The 21,591-nt window shown below is 42.4% G+C and overlaps 1 non-coding gene across 1 annotated transcript, besides 1 other annotated feature; it reads left to right on the forward strand.

Moving 5' to 3' along the window:
* Window positions 235-1,434: an enhancer, noted in NCBI's record as "P300/CBP strongly-dependent group 1 enhancer chr9:38170544-38171743 (GRCh37/hg19 assembly coordinates)". NCBI's record gives its function as "activates an origin of replication core promoter dependent on BRD2, BRD4, P300/CBP, MED14 and CDK7 cofactors, with strong dependence on P300/CBP, by STARR-seq in HCT116 cells {active_cell/tissue: HCT116}" and the evidence as "EXISTENCE:reporter gene assay evidence [ECO:0000049][PMID:35650434]".
* Window positions 20,095-20,195, forward strand: LOC124902348 (small nucleolar RNA U13). The gene has a single exon (XR_007061924.1). It is a non-coding gene; the product is annotated as a small nucleolar RNA U13 (small nucleolar RNA).
* The last annotated feature ends 1,396 nt before the right edge of the window (window positions 20,196-21,591 follow it).

The following is a 21,591-nucleotide window of genomic DNA, read 5'->3' on the forward strand; positions in this document are numbered from 1 at the left end:
TTTGCAGTGAGCCGAGATTGCGCCACTGCACTCCAACCTGGTGACAGAGCAAGACTCTGTCAAAAAAAACAAACAAACAAACAAAAAAAAACAACAGGCTTTTCCCTCACTTTCTGCTTGCTAGAGTGCAGCTGTAATGTCTGGAGATCTGGCAGCCATCTTGGACCATGAGTTGACTTTGGAAATGGAAGCCATGCGTGGTATAGTAATGAGATAGAAAAAACATGGGTCCTTGATCCTGTAGTATGTCATACCAGCCCAGTACTTCTAACTGCTAGACTTCTTGAAAGTAAGAGAAGGGTAAACATTTTATCTTGTTTAAGAGACTATTATTTGGGGTTTTTCTTGTAGGATATAATAAATTCCTTTTCAAAGGTTTTAGCCTGTAAATTGTTAAGTACAATGAGTTCTGAGATCCTCTCCAAAGAACCAATATATCAGTATGTTTAGCTGTTATAAATAAATTTTTGATGCTACAAAAGAAATAGCACTCGAGCATAAATTTAATTTTCTCAGCAAGGCAATTTTTACTTCTATAGAAGGGTGCAACTTGCAGATGGAGCAATCGCGAGAGCACACCTGAACAAGGGAGGGGAAGGGGTTTTTATTCCTGATGCAGCTAGCCCCTACTGCTGTATTGTTCCCCTATTGGCTAGGGTTGGATCACACAGTCTAAGCTAATTTCTGATTGGCTATTTTAAAGAGAGCAAGGGTATGAGTCAGAGTGGTGGGGTGAGTAGTTTGGCGGAAAGGACGGTTACGGAACAAGTGACTCAGGATGAGTCAGGATGGAGCAGGTGACCAGGGGTGACTCAGGTCAAAGCAGGTGACCAGGGGAACAGATGTGAACTACTGATTAGAACTGGTGGGAAAGTTGTTTACTGAAACTAGAGACAAAAGATTGAAGAGAACCAGGAAGTTAAACTTTAAAATGAAGAACAAAGAATAAGAGAGCTGACCATACTGACATACTGATTCTTTGAAGAGAAACTTGGAGTTCACTATATCTAACACAGCTCCCCTGTTCTTTTTCTTCATTTTAAAGTTTAACTTCCTCGTTCTCTTTGTCTCCTTGCCCCTAGTTTCAGTAAACTACCTCCTACTAGCCTGTATAACCTGCTCCGTCCTGATTCACCCCTGGTCACTTGCTCTGACCTGAGTCATCCTGAGTCATCTGTTCTGTAACCATCCCTCCTGCCAAACTACTCACCCTGCCACTCCGACTCGTATGCCTGCTCTCTTTAAAATAGCCAATCGGAATTAGCTTAAACTGTGCGGACCAACCCTAGCCAATAGTGGAACGACACAGCAGTAAGGGCTACCTGCATCAGGAATAAAAACCCCTTCTCCTCCCTTGTTCAGGTGTGCTCTTGCCATTGCTCCATCTATGAGTTGCACCCTTCTCTAGAAGTAAAATTGCCTTGGTGAGAAAATTAAATTTATGTTCGAGTGCTATTTCTTTTGCAGCACTGAAAATTTATTTCTAACATTCTTTTCCTCAAAGTTGAACCTTGCCTCAACAAATATTGATGCCAAAATGGAACTGCATTCTTCTCAGTCCTCCTGGCTTGAGCCTCACTGTCTAAGCTGAAGTGAGGACAATGTGCCCCTCCCCAGTTTGGTTGCCCATGGTTTTACCTGGGTTCCATAGCAAAGTTCCCGGCTTCCCAGTTCAGCCATTCTTTTTTCCTTCCTTTTCTCTCCTAGCAATGCATTATTCCAGGGCTTTTCATACTTTAATCATGCAGGAAGTGTGTTACAATGCAGATTCTGATTCAGTAAGTGTGGAGGCAAGGCTGGAGAGCCTGCATGTCTAACAAGTTTTCATCTGATGTTGCCGGTACTGAGTACTAAGGTATTATAAAACTCACCGTAAGCTTGCAGACATGGACCATGTGGGAATCTCTGTTTCCACAATGCTTGGCACACAGCAGATACTCAGTGTATGCCCAATGATTGACTGAATAATAGGCAATTAGCATGCCAGATGCCAAGAAGTCCTGCAGGAAAGAAACCTGCCACTCTGTTTACTATGCATATCTCAAGTTTATTTTAATTGGAACCCTATTTTCAGAAACACCTATTAACATTTTATAGAAATAGTGCTTTGAGAAAGCCACTTTGGGAGACCCTGGTCTAGGGTGGAGTCTTAGCTGACCCAATAATTAGAATGAGCTGATTTCTGTATGAGAATCTCAAACCCAGGGTTCTGTTTGGGTTGTCTGGTTCAGCAATTAGGAGAAATTGTTTTAGCTCATAACTTCCTGTACCCCTGAGGGCCTGCAGACTCCTTGAGGGGACATATTTAAATGCAATTAAATATAGGAGCTGTTGCATTTGCTAAGGTGCTCAGTTTTCCTCTTCCCCTGGCAGTGCCCAACAGACCTACGACCCCCTCAGGGCACGAGAGCCTGAGTTATTTGCCAATTAGCATGATCCTGTGGATTTGTTGAAATGCTTTTGTTCCCAGGCTGAGGCAAGGAGGAAGTCTGGGAAAAAACTGAAGGAGGACTTGGCTCTGGTTAGAAGCTGGTGAAAAACCGAGTTCCCCTCAGGGAACAGTGTTGACTCTGTCGAGCCCTGGAGCTTTTTTGCTGCAAAAGAAACCTCCTGGGCTCTGGAAACTCTGCCTTTGTCAGCTTCAAGGGAAGGGAGACAGCTGGGAATTGATGCTTTGTCGTGGTTCTGTAGGAGCGTTCTCAGAAATGCAGGCCCAGCTGTCTGTCCAGGAACCCCAAGAATGGCCCAAAGCCCCCAAGAAGGTGGCTTTACAGGATCAAGTCAGAGGGTCTACATAGGCTGCATCCCTTTAACTAGAACTTGGGCACCCAGCCCTTCATCCTCATTTTGGGTCCTCCTAACAACAGTTCTTGATCTAAAGGGAAAATCTTACTCAACATCCTACTCTGCATGTCAGAAGACATAGCCCCTATGAAATAAAGGTAGAAAGCCATAAAGAGAAGGGCAGGCATTCTTTAAAAAGCCACAGAATGAGATTTTTTTTTTAAAAAAAAGATTAAATGAAAAGGGAATTGATAAGAAAAGGAAACACTGTCAGAGAAACTAAAAATGTAATCACAGAATGAAAACCCACCGCTAATCCCTGGGTGAGATTAAAGAACAGAATTGGTACCGTAAAATATTAAATCAGTGCTGTAGAGGTCAAGGTCGAGAAATCTCATCAAAAATGCAGAGAAAAAGATACAGAAATTAAAAAGGCAGGAGGAAAGTTTATATATATGGAGACCAGGGAGCACAGAAGCACCAAGCAGACATTTGGTGATCCTGAGGGGTGAGACCAGAGAGAAGCCATCATCCAACAGATAAGGGACCACCATGCACACCCTGAGTGTGTAGCTCACTAGAGATTGATATATCCCAGGACAAAATGGCTGGAAATGGACCTCTAGCTAGACACCCTGCAAAAATGTTTGAAGAATCAGGATTTTTAAAAGCCTACAAGTATATACACAGAATAAAGAGGAAATCTACTGAGGAAGGAAAATCAGACTGGCTTCAAGCTCTTAGTGCCCTCAATTTGGATAAAGAACGTCTACAGAGTTTTCAGAAGAACAGAGAAAAAGATTGTGATTCAGTAATTTGATGTCCAGCCAAGGTACTTACAGTGTTTGAAGTCTTAGGAAAGATACCTTCAAATATGCAAGGGTTTAAGAAATATGCCACACTGAGCCCTTTTTAAATAAGGAACTCTGAGAAGTATTTAAAATTGTCAAGAGATGAAACACATTTAAGAATCAAGAATAGGGAAGCCATGAAATGAAATGACAGGGTGCAAATGCCTGCTAAACAGAGAAAAGTCTAAAGAATTTAAAAAGTGGCTCAAAATTTGAAAAGTTAGAAATATTCTCAAGAAGAAGCAAAGAGAACTTGGGAAGTATTGATGTACTCTTGATTAATAGTTAGAAAAAATTTGTGAGTTAAAGAATACTTTTGAAAAGTTAAAATAACTGGCCGGGTGTGGTGGCTCACGCCTGTAATCCCAGCACTTCGGGAGGCCAAGGCGGGTAGATCATGAGATCAGGAGATTGAGACCATCCTGGCTAACACGGTGAAACCCCATTTCTACTAAAAGTACAAAAAATTAGCCAGGCGCGGTGGCGGGCACCTGTAGTTCCAGCTACTCGGGAGGCTAAGGCAGGAGAATGGCGTGAACCCAGGAGGCGGAGCTTGCAGTGAGCCGAGATTGCGCCGCTGCACTCCAGCCTGGGCAACAGAGCGAGACTCCATCTCAAAAAAAAAGAAAAAGAAAAGTTAAAATAACTATTTGTAGAATTCTAGACAGATAATGTGCCATGTATAAATACACATAATATAAAATGAATTACAATAAATAGTATATAATTATATAACATATGCAATATGTATACACACATGCACACACAGAGGAAAAGATAAAATGCCAAGAATACGTGGTCACCATACCAAACAGCAAGCACTGGAAGAAGCAAGAAAGCATTAAAATAATTTTTGGGTAATAGATATAATACTAATAATCTATTTCAACAATGAGTGTAAATGGGCTATATTCCTTTATTTTATGACAAAAACTCTCAAATTGTATGCTTCCTATAAGAGAGGCTTTCAAAATAAAGTAAAACAGTAATGCAAAAAGCAAATAGGATCCAGCAATTCCTCTCCTAGGTGTGTACCCAAAGCTATTGAAAGCAGGGACTCAAACAAATACTCGTACATCAATGTTCATTGCTGCATTATTCACAGTAGACAAAAGGTGGAAGTGATCCAAGTGTTCATCAGCAGGTTGCTGAGTAAACAAAATGTGTTATATATGTACTAGAGAATATTATTCAGCCACGAAAAGGAATGAAGTTGTGATACATGCTAAAACACAGATGAACCTTGAAGACAGGCTAAGTGAAATGAAGTAAGTCAGACACAAAAGGACGGATACTGAGGTGCCTAGAATAGGCAAATTCACAGACAGAAAGTAATTAGAAATGACCAGAGGCTGGAGAGAGGGGAAATGAGGAGCTATTGCTTAATGGTTAGAGCTTCTGTTTGGGAGAATGAAGTTTTTGAAATAGTTGTAATAGTTGCAGAACACTGTGAATGTAATTAATGCCACTGAATTGTAGGCCTAAAAATGGTTAAAATGGTATATTTTCCCCCAATAAAAAATATATATGAAAGTAAATGACAGGCAAGGTTACATCAAGCACATACAAACATAAAGACAGCAGGAGCCCTAATATTAATTTCAGGCTAAGCAGGATTCAAAACCAAACAGATTCAATGCAACAAAGAGGTTTTATTATTTATTTATTTATTTATTTATTTATTTATTTATTTATTTTTAAGCGATGAGGTTCTCGCTATGTTGCTCGGGCTGGTCTCCAACTCCTAGCCTCAAGCAATCTTTCTGCCTTTATCTCCCAAAGTGCTGGGATTGCAGGCATGAGACACCATACCCTGGCCTTAAAGAGCTTTTATTTCAATAAAGGGTACAGTTATTTTGAATATATAACAATTATAAATCTTTATGCAATAAGTAACATAGCATCAAAATATATAAAACACATATACACATACATACACACCTCATTATCATTATCTAGGAAAAAAATAACAAGCTTGCCTAATTAAGTAAGAGACATTTTCCCTTTTCCATCTTCCCTCTCTTTGCCCCAGCAAGAGAGAGGAAGCACAGGGTAGAACTGAGGGGATTGTGAGGAGCAGACCCTCCCTACTAGTCCTCCATACCCACTGAAATCAGGAAATTTTCATCAATAGTTTATTACCATCTAATCCTCAGATTTTATTTGCATTTTGCCAAATGTCCCAATAATATTCCTTATGCCAAATGTCCCAATAATGTTCTTTACATCAAAAAGAATCAGTTCAGAATGATGTGTTGCCTTTAGTGATTAGCTTCTTGTCTCTACAGACTCCTTCACTTTGGAACACTTTCTTCATCTTTCTTTGACTCTCATGACATTGACACTTTTGAAGATTACAACCCATTTATTTTGTTTAATATCCTTTAATTTGGGCCTGTCTGACTTTCCTTAAAGTTAGATTCAAGTTATGTGTCTTAACTAGGAACAACACAGAAGTGATGCTTCTGTGACCTTCTCATTGCAATCTTGCAGGTGGCTCAGGATGCTGATTCATCCCATTGCTCATAATGTTCATGTTGATAACCTAAGTTGATAAACAAACCTTGTATCTGCCAGGGTTCTTCATTATAGTTTTACTCTTTTCCTCTATGTAATTAATAAGTACTTCGTGAAGAGATATTTTGAGAGTGTGTATCCCATGCTTCATTAAACTTTTATTCATTTATTTATGTCAGATAGTCTTATGATTTCCTGTTCTATTCAATAAGTTATCGTTTGTTACTATCACTATTTATCTTAGTGCCCAAATTGCCTCTGATTTGGTGTTTGGTAGCCCCTTTAAGCTGATTCATTTTGACATGTTTCTATCATTCTTTAAGCTACCTTGCTTTCTAGAATGATAGTATATTCCAGGATATCTTGCACTTTCTCTATCTAAACTCTGGAGTCAGCCATTTCTCCAGGGAACTCTTGTTCCTTTTAATGGAGAATGTTATTTAGAAGCCAAGACCTGAACACTAGGTGTGCTCATTGCTACTGGGGTATCACTACCCCAGGCCCTTTCAGTGGACATTAAGTTGATAAGCCTGCTGTTTGCCAGGATTCTCCATTGTAGTTTTATGCTCTTCCTCTGAAGATGTGTGTATACATATATCCCCATATATATATATATATATATATATATATATATATATATATATACATTTACATCTATATTTCTATATCTGTCTCCATATTTTGAAATCAGTGAGCTCACACCAACAGCCCCAATTCTAGTCCAATATCACTGGATTCATTCTAGTTCTCTTATTTTCTACATGTTATAACTCCCTTCCCTGAAAGTGAGAAATATCATTCACATTATCCCTAATACAGTCATCCCTCAGTATTTGTGGGGTATTGGTTCCAGGACCCCCCACGGATGTTCAAGTTCCTTATCTAATATGGTATAATATTTACGTAGAACCTATGCACATCTTCTCATATGCCTTCAGTCATCTCTAGCTTACTTATAATATTGAATACAATGCAAATGCTATGTAAATACCTGTTATACTGTATTGTCTTTTAATTTATTTTTTAATTATTGTAATTTTTTTTTCCCTGAATATTTTTGATCCAGTTGGTTGAACCCATGGATGCAGAACCCATGAATACAGAGGGCTGACTGCCTATTTACTTATTTGATCAATTCCCTTTATGTAATCAACCTCCAACTGCACCTTCTTCCCTGTGCAGATGCCCTCCTCACAACATCTGAGCACCAGTCTGCCTTTCCCACCTGGAAGCCTTCTTCATCCTGCTGGATTCTGACACCCTATGCTGGGCATCCCCTCTTGAATGTTTTCCTCTTATTCTCTGATGCCTCATGCTGTTTGCACGCCTCCGCCCCTGAACCAATATTCTCACCCCACGCTCAGGCTCTGCACTCTGTGCCTGGCAGCACCCCTGCACAATGCCCTTGGTGCTCCACCTGGGCTCTGACAGCCTGCTTCCGGTTACCAAGGCTCTCCCTCACCTCTGCAGACACTGACCTTTCTTGGCCATAGCTACTGGCTTTTGGAGGAATAGAAGGGAAGAGAGAGAGGAAGAGCTCCAACAAGTTTAATAAAAAAAGAAAAATCAAAAATTTAACATAGAGAATAATAAAGAAGAAATGTGCATACAGACACATAAAATTTTTTAATGAGAAAAGAATGTATAAAAATGGTCAAAATGAGTAATATAAGAAAACATAAATGGCAAATAAATTGGCAAAATGTAGCCAAATCATAATAGATCTGAAGAAACCAAGAAAGTTATTAAAGAGTTGCATTCAGAAAAGGAAGTGGTTTTATGGGTGGATTATTTTAAATCTTTAGGAAATAGATAACTTTCTGGGGAAAGTACAAAATGTGTATGATCGTATTTTTTGAAAATAGCATAACTTTACACCAAAAACCTGAGGATGAGATCCCAGAAAACTATAATCCAATTTCACTTGTGGCAGGAAGTGAGTGGGAATTTTTCAATTGCCTCAGAATGAGTAATTGACACCCAAAGCAGTAGATCTAAAGAAAGCCACTGGACCAGTTTGAGCTCTCCAGTGAAACAGAACAAACAGGATATGTGTATATGTATATGGAGAGAGTTGTTTCAAGGACTTGGCTCATGGATTGTAGAGGTTTGGAAGTCCAAAATCTGCAAGGTGTGCTGGCAGGCTGAGACTCAGGGAAGAGTTGTGGTTCCAGTGCGAAGGCAGTTTGCTGACAGAATTCCTTTTTGCTCAGGGGAGGTCAGTCTATTATTTTATCTTTTATATTATCTTTATTCAGGCCTTCGACAGATTGGATGAAGCCCATCTCCATTACAGAGGGTAACCCGCTTTACTCAAAGTCCATGGATTTAAATGTTAATCTCATCCAAAAAACACCTTCACAGAAACATCTAGAATAATGTTCTGCCAAATATCTGGGCACCACGGCCCAGCCAAGTTGTTACATAAAATTAACCAGCACAGCCACTTGTAAAGAAAGCCCAAAAGCATCAGAGGCCCAGGCACCTACATCCGGATTTCTTAGGAGCTGGCTGCACAGGCTCCTTCCACCTCCTCCTCATTCCAGCAACCTCCCCAGCTCCAGACAGAGGACTGAGAGGGAGAAGGTACTTGACAGAAATCTGGATCAGGGACTGAGGGGAGGGTGTGCTCCCCACTGGGCAAGCCAGGACCACAGAGGATCCTTCCTAGAGACTTGGGGAGGCTGAAGGAAGTCTTAGATCCTATTTGCTGGTTGGGTATTGGTTGAGCTGTGAAATCTGGAGCCTGACCCCAAGAAGAGGGGCTGAGATGATGGCAGTGTGGAGGGAGATCCCTTGGGCAGTCTGGCAGGCGTCCCCAGGAGTTTGGGGCAGGTGTGGGGTGGTTGCTGTATCCATCCGTTTCCTAGAGATGCCATGACACATACCATAGACTGCGTGGCTTAAAGGATAGAATTTTCTTTTTTCTAATTTTCTTACAGTTCTGAAGGTTATAATTCCAAGGTCCAAGTCACAATAGGATTAGGTTCTTCTGAGCCTCTCTCTGTGGCTTGTAGGTGGCTGCCTTCTACCTCTGTGTGCACATTGTCTTTGCTCTATGCTTCTTGGGACCTAATTTCTTCTTATGAGGACACCAGTCAGGCTGAATTGGAGCCCACCCCAGTGAACTCACTCAACCTTAATCACCTCTTAAAAGACCACGTCTCCAAATACAGTCACATTCTGGGGATTAGGACTTCAACAGATGAATTTCGAGGCAGCACAATTCAGCCCATAGCAGCTGTGAACATAGAGAACAGTGCCTGCTTCACCTGAGGATTCCTGAGGGCTGGAGACTGCTGGGCAGCCTGTGCTGAGAGAGAGGGTGAGGACTTTGGTGTACTATGCCTGGAAGACTTGGATGTGGGGGCTGCCCTCCCAGATGGCTAAGGCCTTCAGGGTGTGCAGAAAGGGCCCCCCGTACTCTATGTGAAGGAACAGGTGAAGTGCAGGAGGAACGGAGGCTCTGGGGGTGCCCAAGTGGCTAGGCCAGACAAGTGGGTGCCCCAAACAACCAGGGGAATGGCAGGCATGAATGGCTGCTGGGCCAGCAGGGAGATGGGACTGTCTCCCAGAGCAGAGCTAAACACTACACCAAACAAAGCCAGTACCTTGCCCTTACCACAGGGGCCAATCAGTGGAACCATTAGCTACAGACAGAATGGACTAAGCCAAAGTGAGTGCTCCTCACTTCACTGGGTGCTCCTCACTCCCAAGAGCTATCCAGTTACATAAAGTGACACTGGCACTAGGGGCTTGAGCCTTGAAAATGAAGGGGGACAAGGAAGAGATTTTCTCAGCAGCAGAAAAAGTCCCTCCCTCCCTTCACTGCTCCCAGGACCGAGCTGGGGGCTGCGGGAGCAGCATTGGGAAATGCGACTGAAGTATTTTATTAAACAAAAACAGCTCCCATTATTGCTAATTGCTTTACATAGTTTCCCATCTCTGTAACCATCCTACAAAGGGGAGCGGGAGCTTGGGGCTCGGTGTGGTGAAGCACAGAATCGAGTCTACACAGCTGCTGTGTGACAGGACTGGGCATCAAACTCAGCTCTGTGCCATGACAAGACGACATGGCCTGAGAACAGAGCACAGGCTTTTAGCCACATAGCTAGTGTTTGGAGGCTCCTTGACTTATTTCTGGACAAAGTAGGGTCTAACTAAACTAACCAAATGATGTCAATCTTGGGGAGCAGCGTGCGTGCACATGCGTGTGTGTGTGTGTGTGTGTGTGTGTGTGTGTGACTTCCCTGGTCACAATGTAATGGAGGTTTCTAGATAATGAAATCTGATGCTTCTCTTTACAGGGTTTACAGGGTTTCCAGGTCATGTGCTCACCCTGGGCAAGTCTAGCATGAACCTGCTGGAACAGAATTCTTAGCTTCTGAGTAGGGATCACTGAGTCTGCTGCTGTGGAGTCTTTGACCTGGTTATTCATGGATGAACCATCTGTTTCCCCTTTGCTCTCATGGCTCAAGATGGCAAAAGCTTTCTCCCACCCTTGGCCACCTCTCCCTTCCATTGTTGTGGCCAGGTGGCTGCTGTAGCTGCCTGTTCTTTAGGGATGGCACCCCTGGAGTCAGAGAGTCCATCCCTGTCATCATTGCTGTTGAGACAGAGATGGTGAAGCAGCTCTTCTCTGGCATTGCCTGTCTGGATAAAGCAGGCACTTGACTTGGTAGCTCACACCTGAGAGACCTAGGGGACCTGTGCTTCCTGGGGACTTGGTGAGGGGGAGCAGAACAAAAGGCTGGTGGAAGCCTCAGGGGTAACTGTACCCTTCCCTGGGGATCTCCCCCATCCTGAAAGCCAGCCTGGCCTCTCAACAGGGGCCTGAATGGCCCTCCCTCTGCTGAATGTGATAGAAAAAGGGAGACAGGCACAGAAGGAGCTGTTTTCTCAATGCTTCTAGATGGAACAATATACGCAAAGACCATCTGAGTCACCCTCAAGGGAGGACTACAACTTCCAGATCACTGTTGGTCATTGACACATCACTGACCATCCTGCTCACGCTGCACCTCAGCAGTGGCTTTCCTCCTCCCTTGGCTAAATGCTCTTCTCTTTCAGTTGACATTCATGGGGCTTATGCATAAGTAGGACGCAGGCCTCCTCCCAGTGGGCGAAGGTGAGGGTGGACAGGGAGCACATGTCCCTCAGAAGTCTGTATTCCAACTAGGGGCAAAGAAATGAAATCCCAGTGCTGGTGGTTTCTGGTGCTCACTCCCAGTGCAGAGAAACTGCTCTGGCTAGGGGCCTGTCACAGTAGCCAGAGCTGGAAAGAAGCTCTGAATGTTAGAAATCTGGAGGAAAGCACAACTTCAAAGAGTCTTTTTCTAAGAAAAGTCCCTTTTGCTGCCCACAGGGAGTCAACTGCAGATACGGTTTTAAAATTTTTGTAGAAAGTCAGTCCTTCCTGTCTCCCTTCCTTATCCCCAGGCCAGAAGCAAATAAGTATTTCCCAGAGAGGAGAGGGCAGGAAGAGGAGTTCTGTGACCTGGGTGGGGGTTGCTCACAGGCCTGAGTACCCCAGTATTCATCATCCCTTTCCTCTTGCCTCTGAGGATGTGTATGTGCCTCTTGCCTCATTACCCATTGATTCATACCTCCCCAGCTGTGCCTGCTGCATGAATCGGATGGTCCTTTTGAATTCAGACATCTCAGACCTAAAGAGCTGCAGGACATGGGCCTACCATGCCTTAACATGTTGTTTTTCTTGCACACTTTGTCATTGGTTGGCAGAATCTCCACATCTCTTTCTCTGTCTCTCTTTTTTAAAAAAAAATCGCTTTATTAAGATATAATTTGCATAACACATGTCTTAGCCCATTTGCATTGCTATAAAGACATACCTGAGGCTGGATAATTTAAAGAGGCAAGAGGTTTATTTGGCATATGGTTCTGCAGATTGTATAGGAAGTATGGCACCAGCATCTGCTTCTGGCAAGGGACTCAGGCTGCTTCCACTCATGGCAGAAGGGGAGGAAGGGAAGCTAGCATGCAGACTTATATGGTGAAAGAGAAGGAGGGGCCAGTCTCTTCTCAACAACCAGTTTTCATGGGAACTAAGAGTGAGAACTCACTGCTGTGAGAATGGCACCAAGCCAAACACCTTCCTCTTGGCCCCACCTCCAACACTGGGGATCACATTTCAACATGAGATTTAGTGAGGCCAAACAAACCATGTCCAAACCATATAATCCACCCATTTAACAGTATGTACAATTCAATGGTTTTTTAGTACATTCACAGGTGTGTGCAACCATCATCATAGTCAATTTTAGAATATTTTCATTATCTCAAAAGAAAGAAATCCTGTACCTTTTAGCTATTACTCCTCTATCCTCCAACCACTGCCCCCCAGCCATAAGCAAGCAGAAATCTACTTCCTGTTTCTCTAGAGACCCCATTCTGGACTTTTATAAGAATGGAATTATACAGTATATTGTCACTCGTGACTGGCTCCTTTTACCGCACATCATATTTTCAAGGATTATCCATTTTGCAGTGTGTATCAGTAGTTCATTCCTTTCACACTGCTCTTGATGGGGGTGAGCAGGCTGAGTGTAGCTCCATGGAGTGGAGGAATAGCTATAGAGACCTCCAAGTCCAGGCTCATGAAGAATCTTGCTTTGTACCCAGGCTTGGCATGGTTCATTTCAGATAATTTCACTCACTTCCTCCTTAGGTGGTTGGTAAACTAGAGACCAATGTCTTCCCTTGACTGTTATTAGACTGGTGCACATGGTCTTTGTACTCAGCAGACAGGCTTCTCTGCCTGAGGCCACCATCATCTTGTTCTTTCGAAAGGACGTCTATTGCTTCCAGGTGTTCTGAATGCCCTTATTCCTGCTGTAAACTCATGCTGACCACGGAGAGCAAGCAAAGGCACTTATTTGCATCCTCTGCACATTTGTGAAGGAGCTTCTGTGGGGTTCTGTCTGAGCTCTAAATTCTTCCTGGAAGTTTTGGATAAGGAAACATTCTTGACATCCTTGCACTTGGACACAGTACTGCTGATGCTGTAACTGAAGTTTTAAACTGGTAATAGGTTGGCCTGGACTTTTTGTTAATTGAAAGTGACCACAAATCCATAAGATTTGTTCAAATGTCATTATGGGTCAGGAAGAAGAGATTTGGAAGAATTTGTCTGAAGATAAGCAATTGGACAAAAAACCCCACAAAACCATCTTATGTTTACGCCCTGCTGACTTCAGACTGTTCAATACAATGATTACACATTTAAGAACATAGAGGCATACATCCCATATAAATTTTAGTGTTAGTATTCAATTCAGTAGTATATTAAAAGAATACTACATTATGACCAAGTCAGCTTTACTACAGGAATGTAAAGGTGGCTCTTTATGAACAAGTGCATTAATGCAGTTTGTCACAGCAAGAGGTCAAAAGAAAATTTTTGGCAGTAGTTTGGAAACCTGTTCACACAAGACATTTTTATTTCCTTAGCATGGGTGCCACACAGAAACCAATAGAACAAACGCCATACTTGTTTGGGATGGCTATTTATGCTGCTTTGATAGACTTATCCTTAGAGAAACTATCTTGTTTGTTTGTGTTGCTAAAAGGAATACCCAAAGCTGGGTAATTTATAAAGAAAGATTTATTTGGCTTATGGTTCTACAGGCTGTACAAGAAGCTTATCTGCTTCTGGTAAGGGCCTCAAGCTGCTTCCCCTCATGGCAGAAGGAGAAGGGGAGCCTGAGTGTACAGAGATCACATGGCCAGAGAGGAAGCAAGACAGAGGGGAGGGAGGTGCCAGGCTCTCTTTAACAACCAGTTCTGGTAGGGACTGGTAGAGTGAAAATTCACTATTGCAAGAACTTCATCAAGCCATTCATGAAGGATCCACCCCTATGACCTAAGCACCTCCCATTGGGACCCACCTCCAACATTGGGGATCAAATTTCAACATGAGGTTTGGCAGGAATTACACAAAAATGATGCTGGGTGCTCTCCATGTGCTCTATCAGGAAGTGCACAATGCCAACCCATCACACTATTGTTGACTTAATTTTAATCTTCTCCTCCAACTTTCTCCACTGTGAAGGCACCATTTTCATTATGCCAGTTTCAGAGCATGTCCCCACAAATTAAATCATAAAATTAAATCATAATTTAATCCCTTTTGGAGGGAGTAAGACATTTAGGATTTAATTTTGTGCTAAAGAATAATAATACAAAAATAGCTATCATTTAATGACCATTTATTATGTGCAAGGCACTGTGCTATGCACTTTATGCATCTTAGTTGAATGCTCAAACCCTTGAATTATGTACCATTATTATTCCCTGTTACAGATGAAGAAAATGAGCCAACTGCAGTGATGGATTTGAAGCAGGATAGATTATATGCTACCTATTCAGTCTTCTTGAGTACTATTTTTTCCCCCATTTAGTAAAAAAAAAAAAAAAAAGAAAAGAAACTGTAAAAGAAATTAGCCAAGGAGGCTGGATGCAGTGGCTCATGCCTATAATCCCAGTACTGTGGGAGGCCGAGGTGGGTGGATTACCTGAGGTTAGACATTGGAGACCAGTCTGGCCAACATGGCAAAACTCCTCCTCTACTAAAAAAAAATACAAAAATTAGCCGAGTGCGGTGGCTCATGCCTGTAATCCCAGCACTTTGGGAGGCCGAGGTGGGCAGATCACCTGAGGTCAGGAGTTAGAGACCAGCCTGACCAACATGGAGAAACCCCATCTCTACTAAGAATACAAAATTAGCTGGGCGTGGTGGCACATGCCTGTAATCCCAGCTACTAGGGAGGCTGAGGCAGGAGAATCACTTGAACCTGGGAGGTGGAGGTTGCAGTGAGCCAAGATTGTGCCGTTGCACTACAGCCTGGGCAACGAGAGTGAAACTCCGTCTAAAAAAAAAAAAAAAAAAAAAAAATTAGCAGGTCATGGTGGCACATGCCTGTAATCCCAGCTACTTGGGAGGCTGAGTATCACTTGAGTCCGGGAGGCGGAGGTTGCAGTGAGCTGAGATGGTGCCATTGCACTCCAGCCCTGGGCGACAGAGCAAGACTCCATCTCAAAAATAAATAAATAAATAAAAAAGAAATTAGCCAATGAAGAGTTAAAAACACCAAACAGAAGTGGTTTAAGTTTTTCCTTGCAGCTCAAGTGATTCTGTTTGTGACAACTAAAGACCCAGAGGTTCCATTTGATGTGTTAGTAGATAATACACCTTAAAATCTGCAACCATTTAAAAATTGGGCTAAAGACATTTAAAGCCACTAAAGTTGTCAAAAATAAACCCCACAAAACCTCATTATTTCTACCTATGTTAGGTCAGCTAGTGAAAGGAAAATGAAAGGTAATGGCTAAGAATTAGCTTTCCAAATGGCTCAGTCAAAGCCATTTGGAAATTTGCCAGTCCAAGGACCAACCCAAAAGAAACCTCAAATATAATCTCTTTGTACAAAGAAAAGAGACACCACAGGCATTATTAAAATACGAGAATTGGTGGAACCACTTCGATACTGGTCAAAAATCATGAGAATAAAATATTTTCAAATATCCTAGAGAAAGAAAGACATGTATTAATTATAAATTAAACACTATCAATCTTTGTTTCGATTCTTAATGAGTGTTTTTATCTGAGTTCGTTTTTATTAAATTTCCCTTGGGAGAGGAATGGTGGATTTACAGATCTTTTACTAGGGTCCACTTATTATGGGCGCTTTGCTAAGGCCATAAATTTTGCAGTTGAATGACAATAGCGAGGAGGGAGTAGAGCAAGCAGTGGATTGAAGCTGGGAAGGAGGGCAGGATTAAAGGTGGCTTGCACAGAAAACAGTTTTTACATTTTGATATAGCCCCAAATGACCTGGGTTAAAAGTACCACATTAACATGTCCTTTGAATAAAAATAGCCACATCAAAATGGACAGCTTCACTCAGATGTCTATCATAACACTCACTCTGGTTCAAAAAATTTATGATTCATAGGCTTAACAATAAACACACAGCTTTAGCTCCTTCTGAAGACCTGAAAGGTCATGGACTGGAATCCTGAGTTGTGAGGCCAGTTTCCTGAACCAAGATTCAGAGCTAGCCAGTGAACCTAGCAGATGGGCCAGCGTTCAATTTCCACTGAAGTCTGGCGTTCTCAATTCCTGTAACCGCCCAAGGGGTTCACCTTGCCTGCTGCCTACACAGACTCGATTCATCAAGACAGGGGAATTGCAATAGAGAAAGAGGAATTCGTGCAGAGTCAGCTGTGCATTAAACCAGAGTTTTATTATTACTCAAATCAGTCTCCCCAAGCAGAGTTTTTAAGGATAACTTGGTGGGTAGGGGGAAGCCAGTGGAGCCAGGAGTGCTGATTGGTCAGAGATGAAATCATAGGGAGTTGAAACAACCCTTTCCCAAAGCACACCTCCTTCTTGCCTGGGGACTAGACTGCCTTTGTAGGACTAACATTAGCCACAAGATTAGAGATTATGGTTTAGGAGTCATGCAATTGGAGGCTACAAGATTCTGACCCTCCCTAAACTGCTCCTAAGATCAATGCTTGAGATGCTTTGCAAATGCTGCACTTAATGGATCAGGGGGCACCACCTAGATCAATAAACTGGCTTATTTGATCCTGTGGCCCCCACCCAGGAACTGACTCAGTGCAAGAAGCCAGCTTTGACTCCCTGTGATTTCATCTCTGACCAATCAGCACTCCTGGCTCACTGGCATCCTCCAGCCTACCAAATTGTCCTTAAAAACTCTGCTCCCTGAATGCTCGGGAGACTGATTTGAGTAATAATAAAACTCTGATCTCTCACACAGCTGGCTCTGCATGAATTACTCTTTCTCTGTTGCAATTCCCGACTTGATAAAGATAAATCAGCTCTGTCTAGGCAGCGGGCAAGGTGAACCCACTGGGTAGTTACAATTGGGCCCCTGACAACCTTAGAGCCACAGCTGCTATACCAGCCCAGACTTTTACACTTGAGAGAAATTAACTTCTCTTTTTTACTGATACGTAGTCATTGTACATATTTATGGAGTACATGTGATATTTTGAAACATGCATCCACTGTGTAGTGATCAAATCGGTCTTTAAGATATTCATCACCTCAAACATTTATAATTTCTTTGTATTGGAAACATTTCAAATCTTTTAGCTGATTTGAAATATACAATAAATTGCTGTTTACTATAGTCATCCTATTGTGCTATCAAACGAGAACTTATTTCTTCTACATAACTATATGTCTGTACTCAGTAACCAACCCCACTTTATCCCCCTCTCTACTCTTTCCGGCCTCTAGTAACCATCATTCTACTCTAAAAAGTTGAATTCCGCAAGTTCAACTTTTTAGCTCCCAGAAATGAGTGAGAACATGCAATATTTGTCTTTGTGTACCTGGCTTATTTCACTTAACATAATAACTTCCAGTTCCATCCATGTTGTTGCAAATGACAGGATTTTTTTTTTTTTTTTTTTTTATGGATTAAGAGTATTCTCTTGTGTATGATCTCCTCTTTTGTTTAAGCCTCTGTTAGCCTGGGTTCCTGATGACACATCTGGACCTGTGTCCTAATTAACACTGTAGGTAAAGCAAGGATCTACGACCGTTTCCATCTTGTCTCTGTCATGAGGCTGTGAGCTCCTTATGGCAATCTCTCCCTACATTTCTTCCAGTTCCTCATGGTAGGCACAGCACTATCCTACGCCTTGGACCAGAATAGACTCTTGTGGATGCTTATTGGATGAATGAATGAATGAATGAACATGTCAGTGTGTTGCGAGCTGGGAGAGATGCATCAGAAAAGCAGTGGGATGAGAGTCACATACCCCGTACCCTTGTTGGAATTTATGTCTAGGAATTTGTGTTTGGCTGCTTGTAACAGAAAACCCTAATTTTGGGTAATGACTTAATCAAATAGTGATTCATTTCCCTCAAATGGTAAGGGCCTGGGGGTGGGTGGTTTCTGAATTGGGTTTGGTGCAGTTTTGGGGGTGGCCAAGCCTAAGTTTCTGCCATTCACTTGGCCTCTTCCTCATGGTCACAAGATGGCAGCCAAAATCCGACAGTTACATCCATGTCCCAGGGAAGGGGAAGGAGGCAGCAGGAAGAAGGCAAAAGGGAAAGTCAGCCAAGTCTGTCCCCTCTTAAAGGTCTCAGGCTGCTCCTGCCTTTTGCAGGGCCCACAATAAGAGTACAAGGCCAGGCGAGGTGGCTCACACCTGTAATCCCAGCACTTTGGGAGGCTGAGGCAGGCGGATCACAAGGTCAGGAGATCGAGACCAACCTGGCCAACATAGTGAAACCCTGTCTCTACCAAAAATATAAAAAATTAGCTGGGCATGGTGGCACATGCCTGTAGTCCTAGCTACTCAGGAGGCTGAGGCAGGATAATCACTTGAACCCAGGAGGCTGAGGCAGGATAATCACTTGAACCCCAGGAGGTGGAGATTGCAGTGAGCCAAAATCGCACCACTGCACTCCAGCCTGGGCGACAGAACAAGACTCTGTCTCAAAAAAAAAAAAAAAAAAAAGTACAAAGGGAGGTCCAACTACTATCTGTTTATATATTTATCTTCCTACCCTCAAAATGACAAAGGCAAAAACATGTCAAGCTGTATTTTTTTTCTCTTGCACCTAAATTCAATGTGGAATTGAGCTATAATTTTTCTATGATTGGAAGTCACGAAGCACCAAAGACAATTGAATTTAATTGTGACTGAATATATCTGGGATTCTGTTGATGAGCTGGCAAAGTCTGAATGAGACCAAGGTAGTATAATAAAACCAAGGTATACATAATTCAAAAGTCATGATGTATTTATTCCATACATTATTTTTCTATCATCTGAGCAAAATTCAATAATTATGTTAATAACAAAATTTTCACAAATTTGTCTTCTATTGACAGTAATGCTCTAAAGCAGGGGTCCCCAACCCCCAAGGTGCAGACCAGCTCTCTGTTAGGAACTGGGGCACACAGCAGGAGGTGAGCGGCAGGTGAGCAAGCATTACTGCATGAGCCCCACCTCCCATCAGATCAGCTGAGGCATTAGAGTCTCATAGGCGTGTGAATCTTATCCTGAACAGGGCATGCGAGGGATCTAGGTTGCATGAGAATCTAATGCCTGATGAGGTGGAACAGTTTCATCCTGAAATGATTCCCCGACAACCATGGTCTATGGAAAAATTGTCTTTCAGGAAATCTGTTGTTGATGCCAAAAAGGTTGGGGACTGTTTGTCTAAAGCAAGGATTGGTCAACCATATCCTGCAGTCCAGCCACCTGTTTTTTGTTTAAAACATTTTATAGGAACACAATCATGCTCCATCTTTTACATGTTGTCTGTGGCTGTCTTCATGTTACAGTGGCGGAGCTGAGTAGCTGTAACTGGGACTGTATGGCCAACAAACCTAAAATATTTACTCTCTGCATCTTTAAGAAAAAGTTGCCAACCCCTGATCTAAAGTATTTTTTAAAAATGTAATTATAGTCAAAATATACAAAATTTGAATCTATTTTCATTAAGAAGTGTCAGTTAAAGTGAACGTAGATGGCTGGGCATGGTGGCTCATGCCTGTAATCTTAGCACTTTGGGAGGCCAAGGCAGGTAGATTGCTTGAGGTCAGGAGTTCAAGACCAGCCTGACCAACATGGTGAAACCCCATCTCTACCAAAAATACAAAAATTAGCCAGGTGTGGTGGCATACACTTGTAATCCCAGCTACTCGGGAGGCTGAGGTAGGAGAACTGCTTGAACCTGGGAGGCAGAGTTTGCAGTGAGCTGAGATTGCACCACTGCACTTCAGCCTGGGCGACAGAGTGAGACTCCATCTCAAAAAAAAAAGAAAAAGAAGTGAACATAGAAATTCAATAATTAAAATTATTTTTTGTGTACATCTTCTAGAGAAGTTTTTTCCTAAAGAAGTCATAATTTAACAAATTAAAAGGTAAGATTCTTTTGTAGTTCACAAGCATGATTGTGTGTTCACGTGCATGTGTGAGATGTCACCCTTGTGAACCTTGATACGACGTTGGCACGTTACCCATCTCACATTAAAAAAATTTTAAAAAAGTAAAATGCTAATTCTAATTCATGCATATTAACATTACTTAAATAAAGCTAAATTTTATTTAACTCTAACAAATTTAAATAAATCTTATTAAACATTTCTATGAAAATAAAACTTGACCTTCTACCATTCAATATCTATGTGATTGCCGGCAGAAAGGCTTCCTATCATTCTTCATGCAATTCTGCTTATACCTACATATTGCAGATTTCAGAGCAATGTGAGTTGTTGAATATGGCAACATGTTCTTCAGCTGCCAGATACAATTGCCATGAATGCCCTGTAATTGGTAAGAACCTTCAGAATAGTGGGCTAGAACTTGAGGAGAAGCAAGAAAATAGATGTTTGGGACAACTGGGAAATGCTAATTTGTTGTGTAGGAATATTAAACCTATGATATCTGCTGGGAAGGAATTAACAAGCAACTTGTGTTTTTCCATTAACTAAGCTCTTCTGCCATTCAAATCCTCCTGCTCTCTGAGCAGCATCTACCTCCAATGTCCTCAGGCACAGAGATGCAAAATTTCCAGGCTCAGAGTGTTTCAAGGACATAGGGGAGGGCAAGAGTTGTGAACGTGTGTATCCCTGGGCTTGCGTGGTGTTGATAAGAATGAATATTTGGGGTATGGATTGCACTGTGTCTGTGTTGAGGACCTGATCCCAGATGATAGAGACCACCTTTATGTTTGTTAGGAAATAGTTATGTGTGTGTGTGTGGCCATCCTAGTCTGTTTTGTGTTTCTATAACAGAATATCTGAGACTGGGTAATTGATAAAGAAAAAGAATTTGTTTCTTACAGCTCTGGAGGCTTAGTGAGTCCAAGATGGAGGGGTTGCCTCTGGTGAGGGCATTTTTGGTGCATCCTAACATGGAGGGATGATGCGAGAGTGTGCGAGAAAGGGGATGGGGTGCCTAACCCCTTTCCTTATCAGGAACCCACTCCTGATAACTCAAGACCGTGACATTAGCCCATTCAGGAAGGCAGAGTCCTCATGACCTAATCACCTCTTAAAGGTCCCACCTGTCAACACTACTGCATTGGGGATTAAGCTTCCAACACATGAACTTTGGGGTACACATTCAAACCATAGCTCTGTGTGTGTCTGTGTGTGTGTGTGTGTGTGTGTGTGTGTGTGTGTGTGTGTGAGAGAGAGAGAGAGAGAGAGAGAGAGAGAGAGAGAGACATTCGAGTGAGGCCCTCTAAAGCAGGAGGCCCAGAGCAGAGTCTAAGGACAGACAGTGCTAAAAAGGCTCTCGGGAAACTCCCCTCAAATGGCTTCTGCTTACATCACCTTGGCCTTAACTGTATCCTCTGGCTGCTGCTGGCTGCGGTGGAGCCTGGGCACATTGTCAACTCCTGGAAAACCAGGAAGCAGGG

The sequence above is a fragment of the Homo sapiens genome, chromosome 9 (genome assembly GCF_000001405.40).
Source record: "Homo sapiens chromosome 9, GRCh38.p14 Primary Assembly".
NCBI classification, from domain to species: domain Eukaryota; kingdom Metazoa; phylum Chordata; class Mammalia; order Primates; family Hominidae; genus Homo; species Homo sapiens.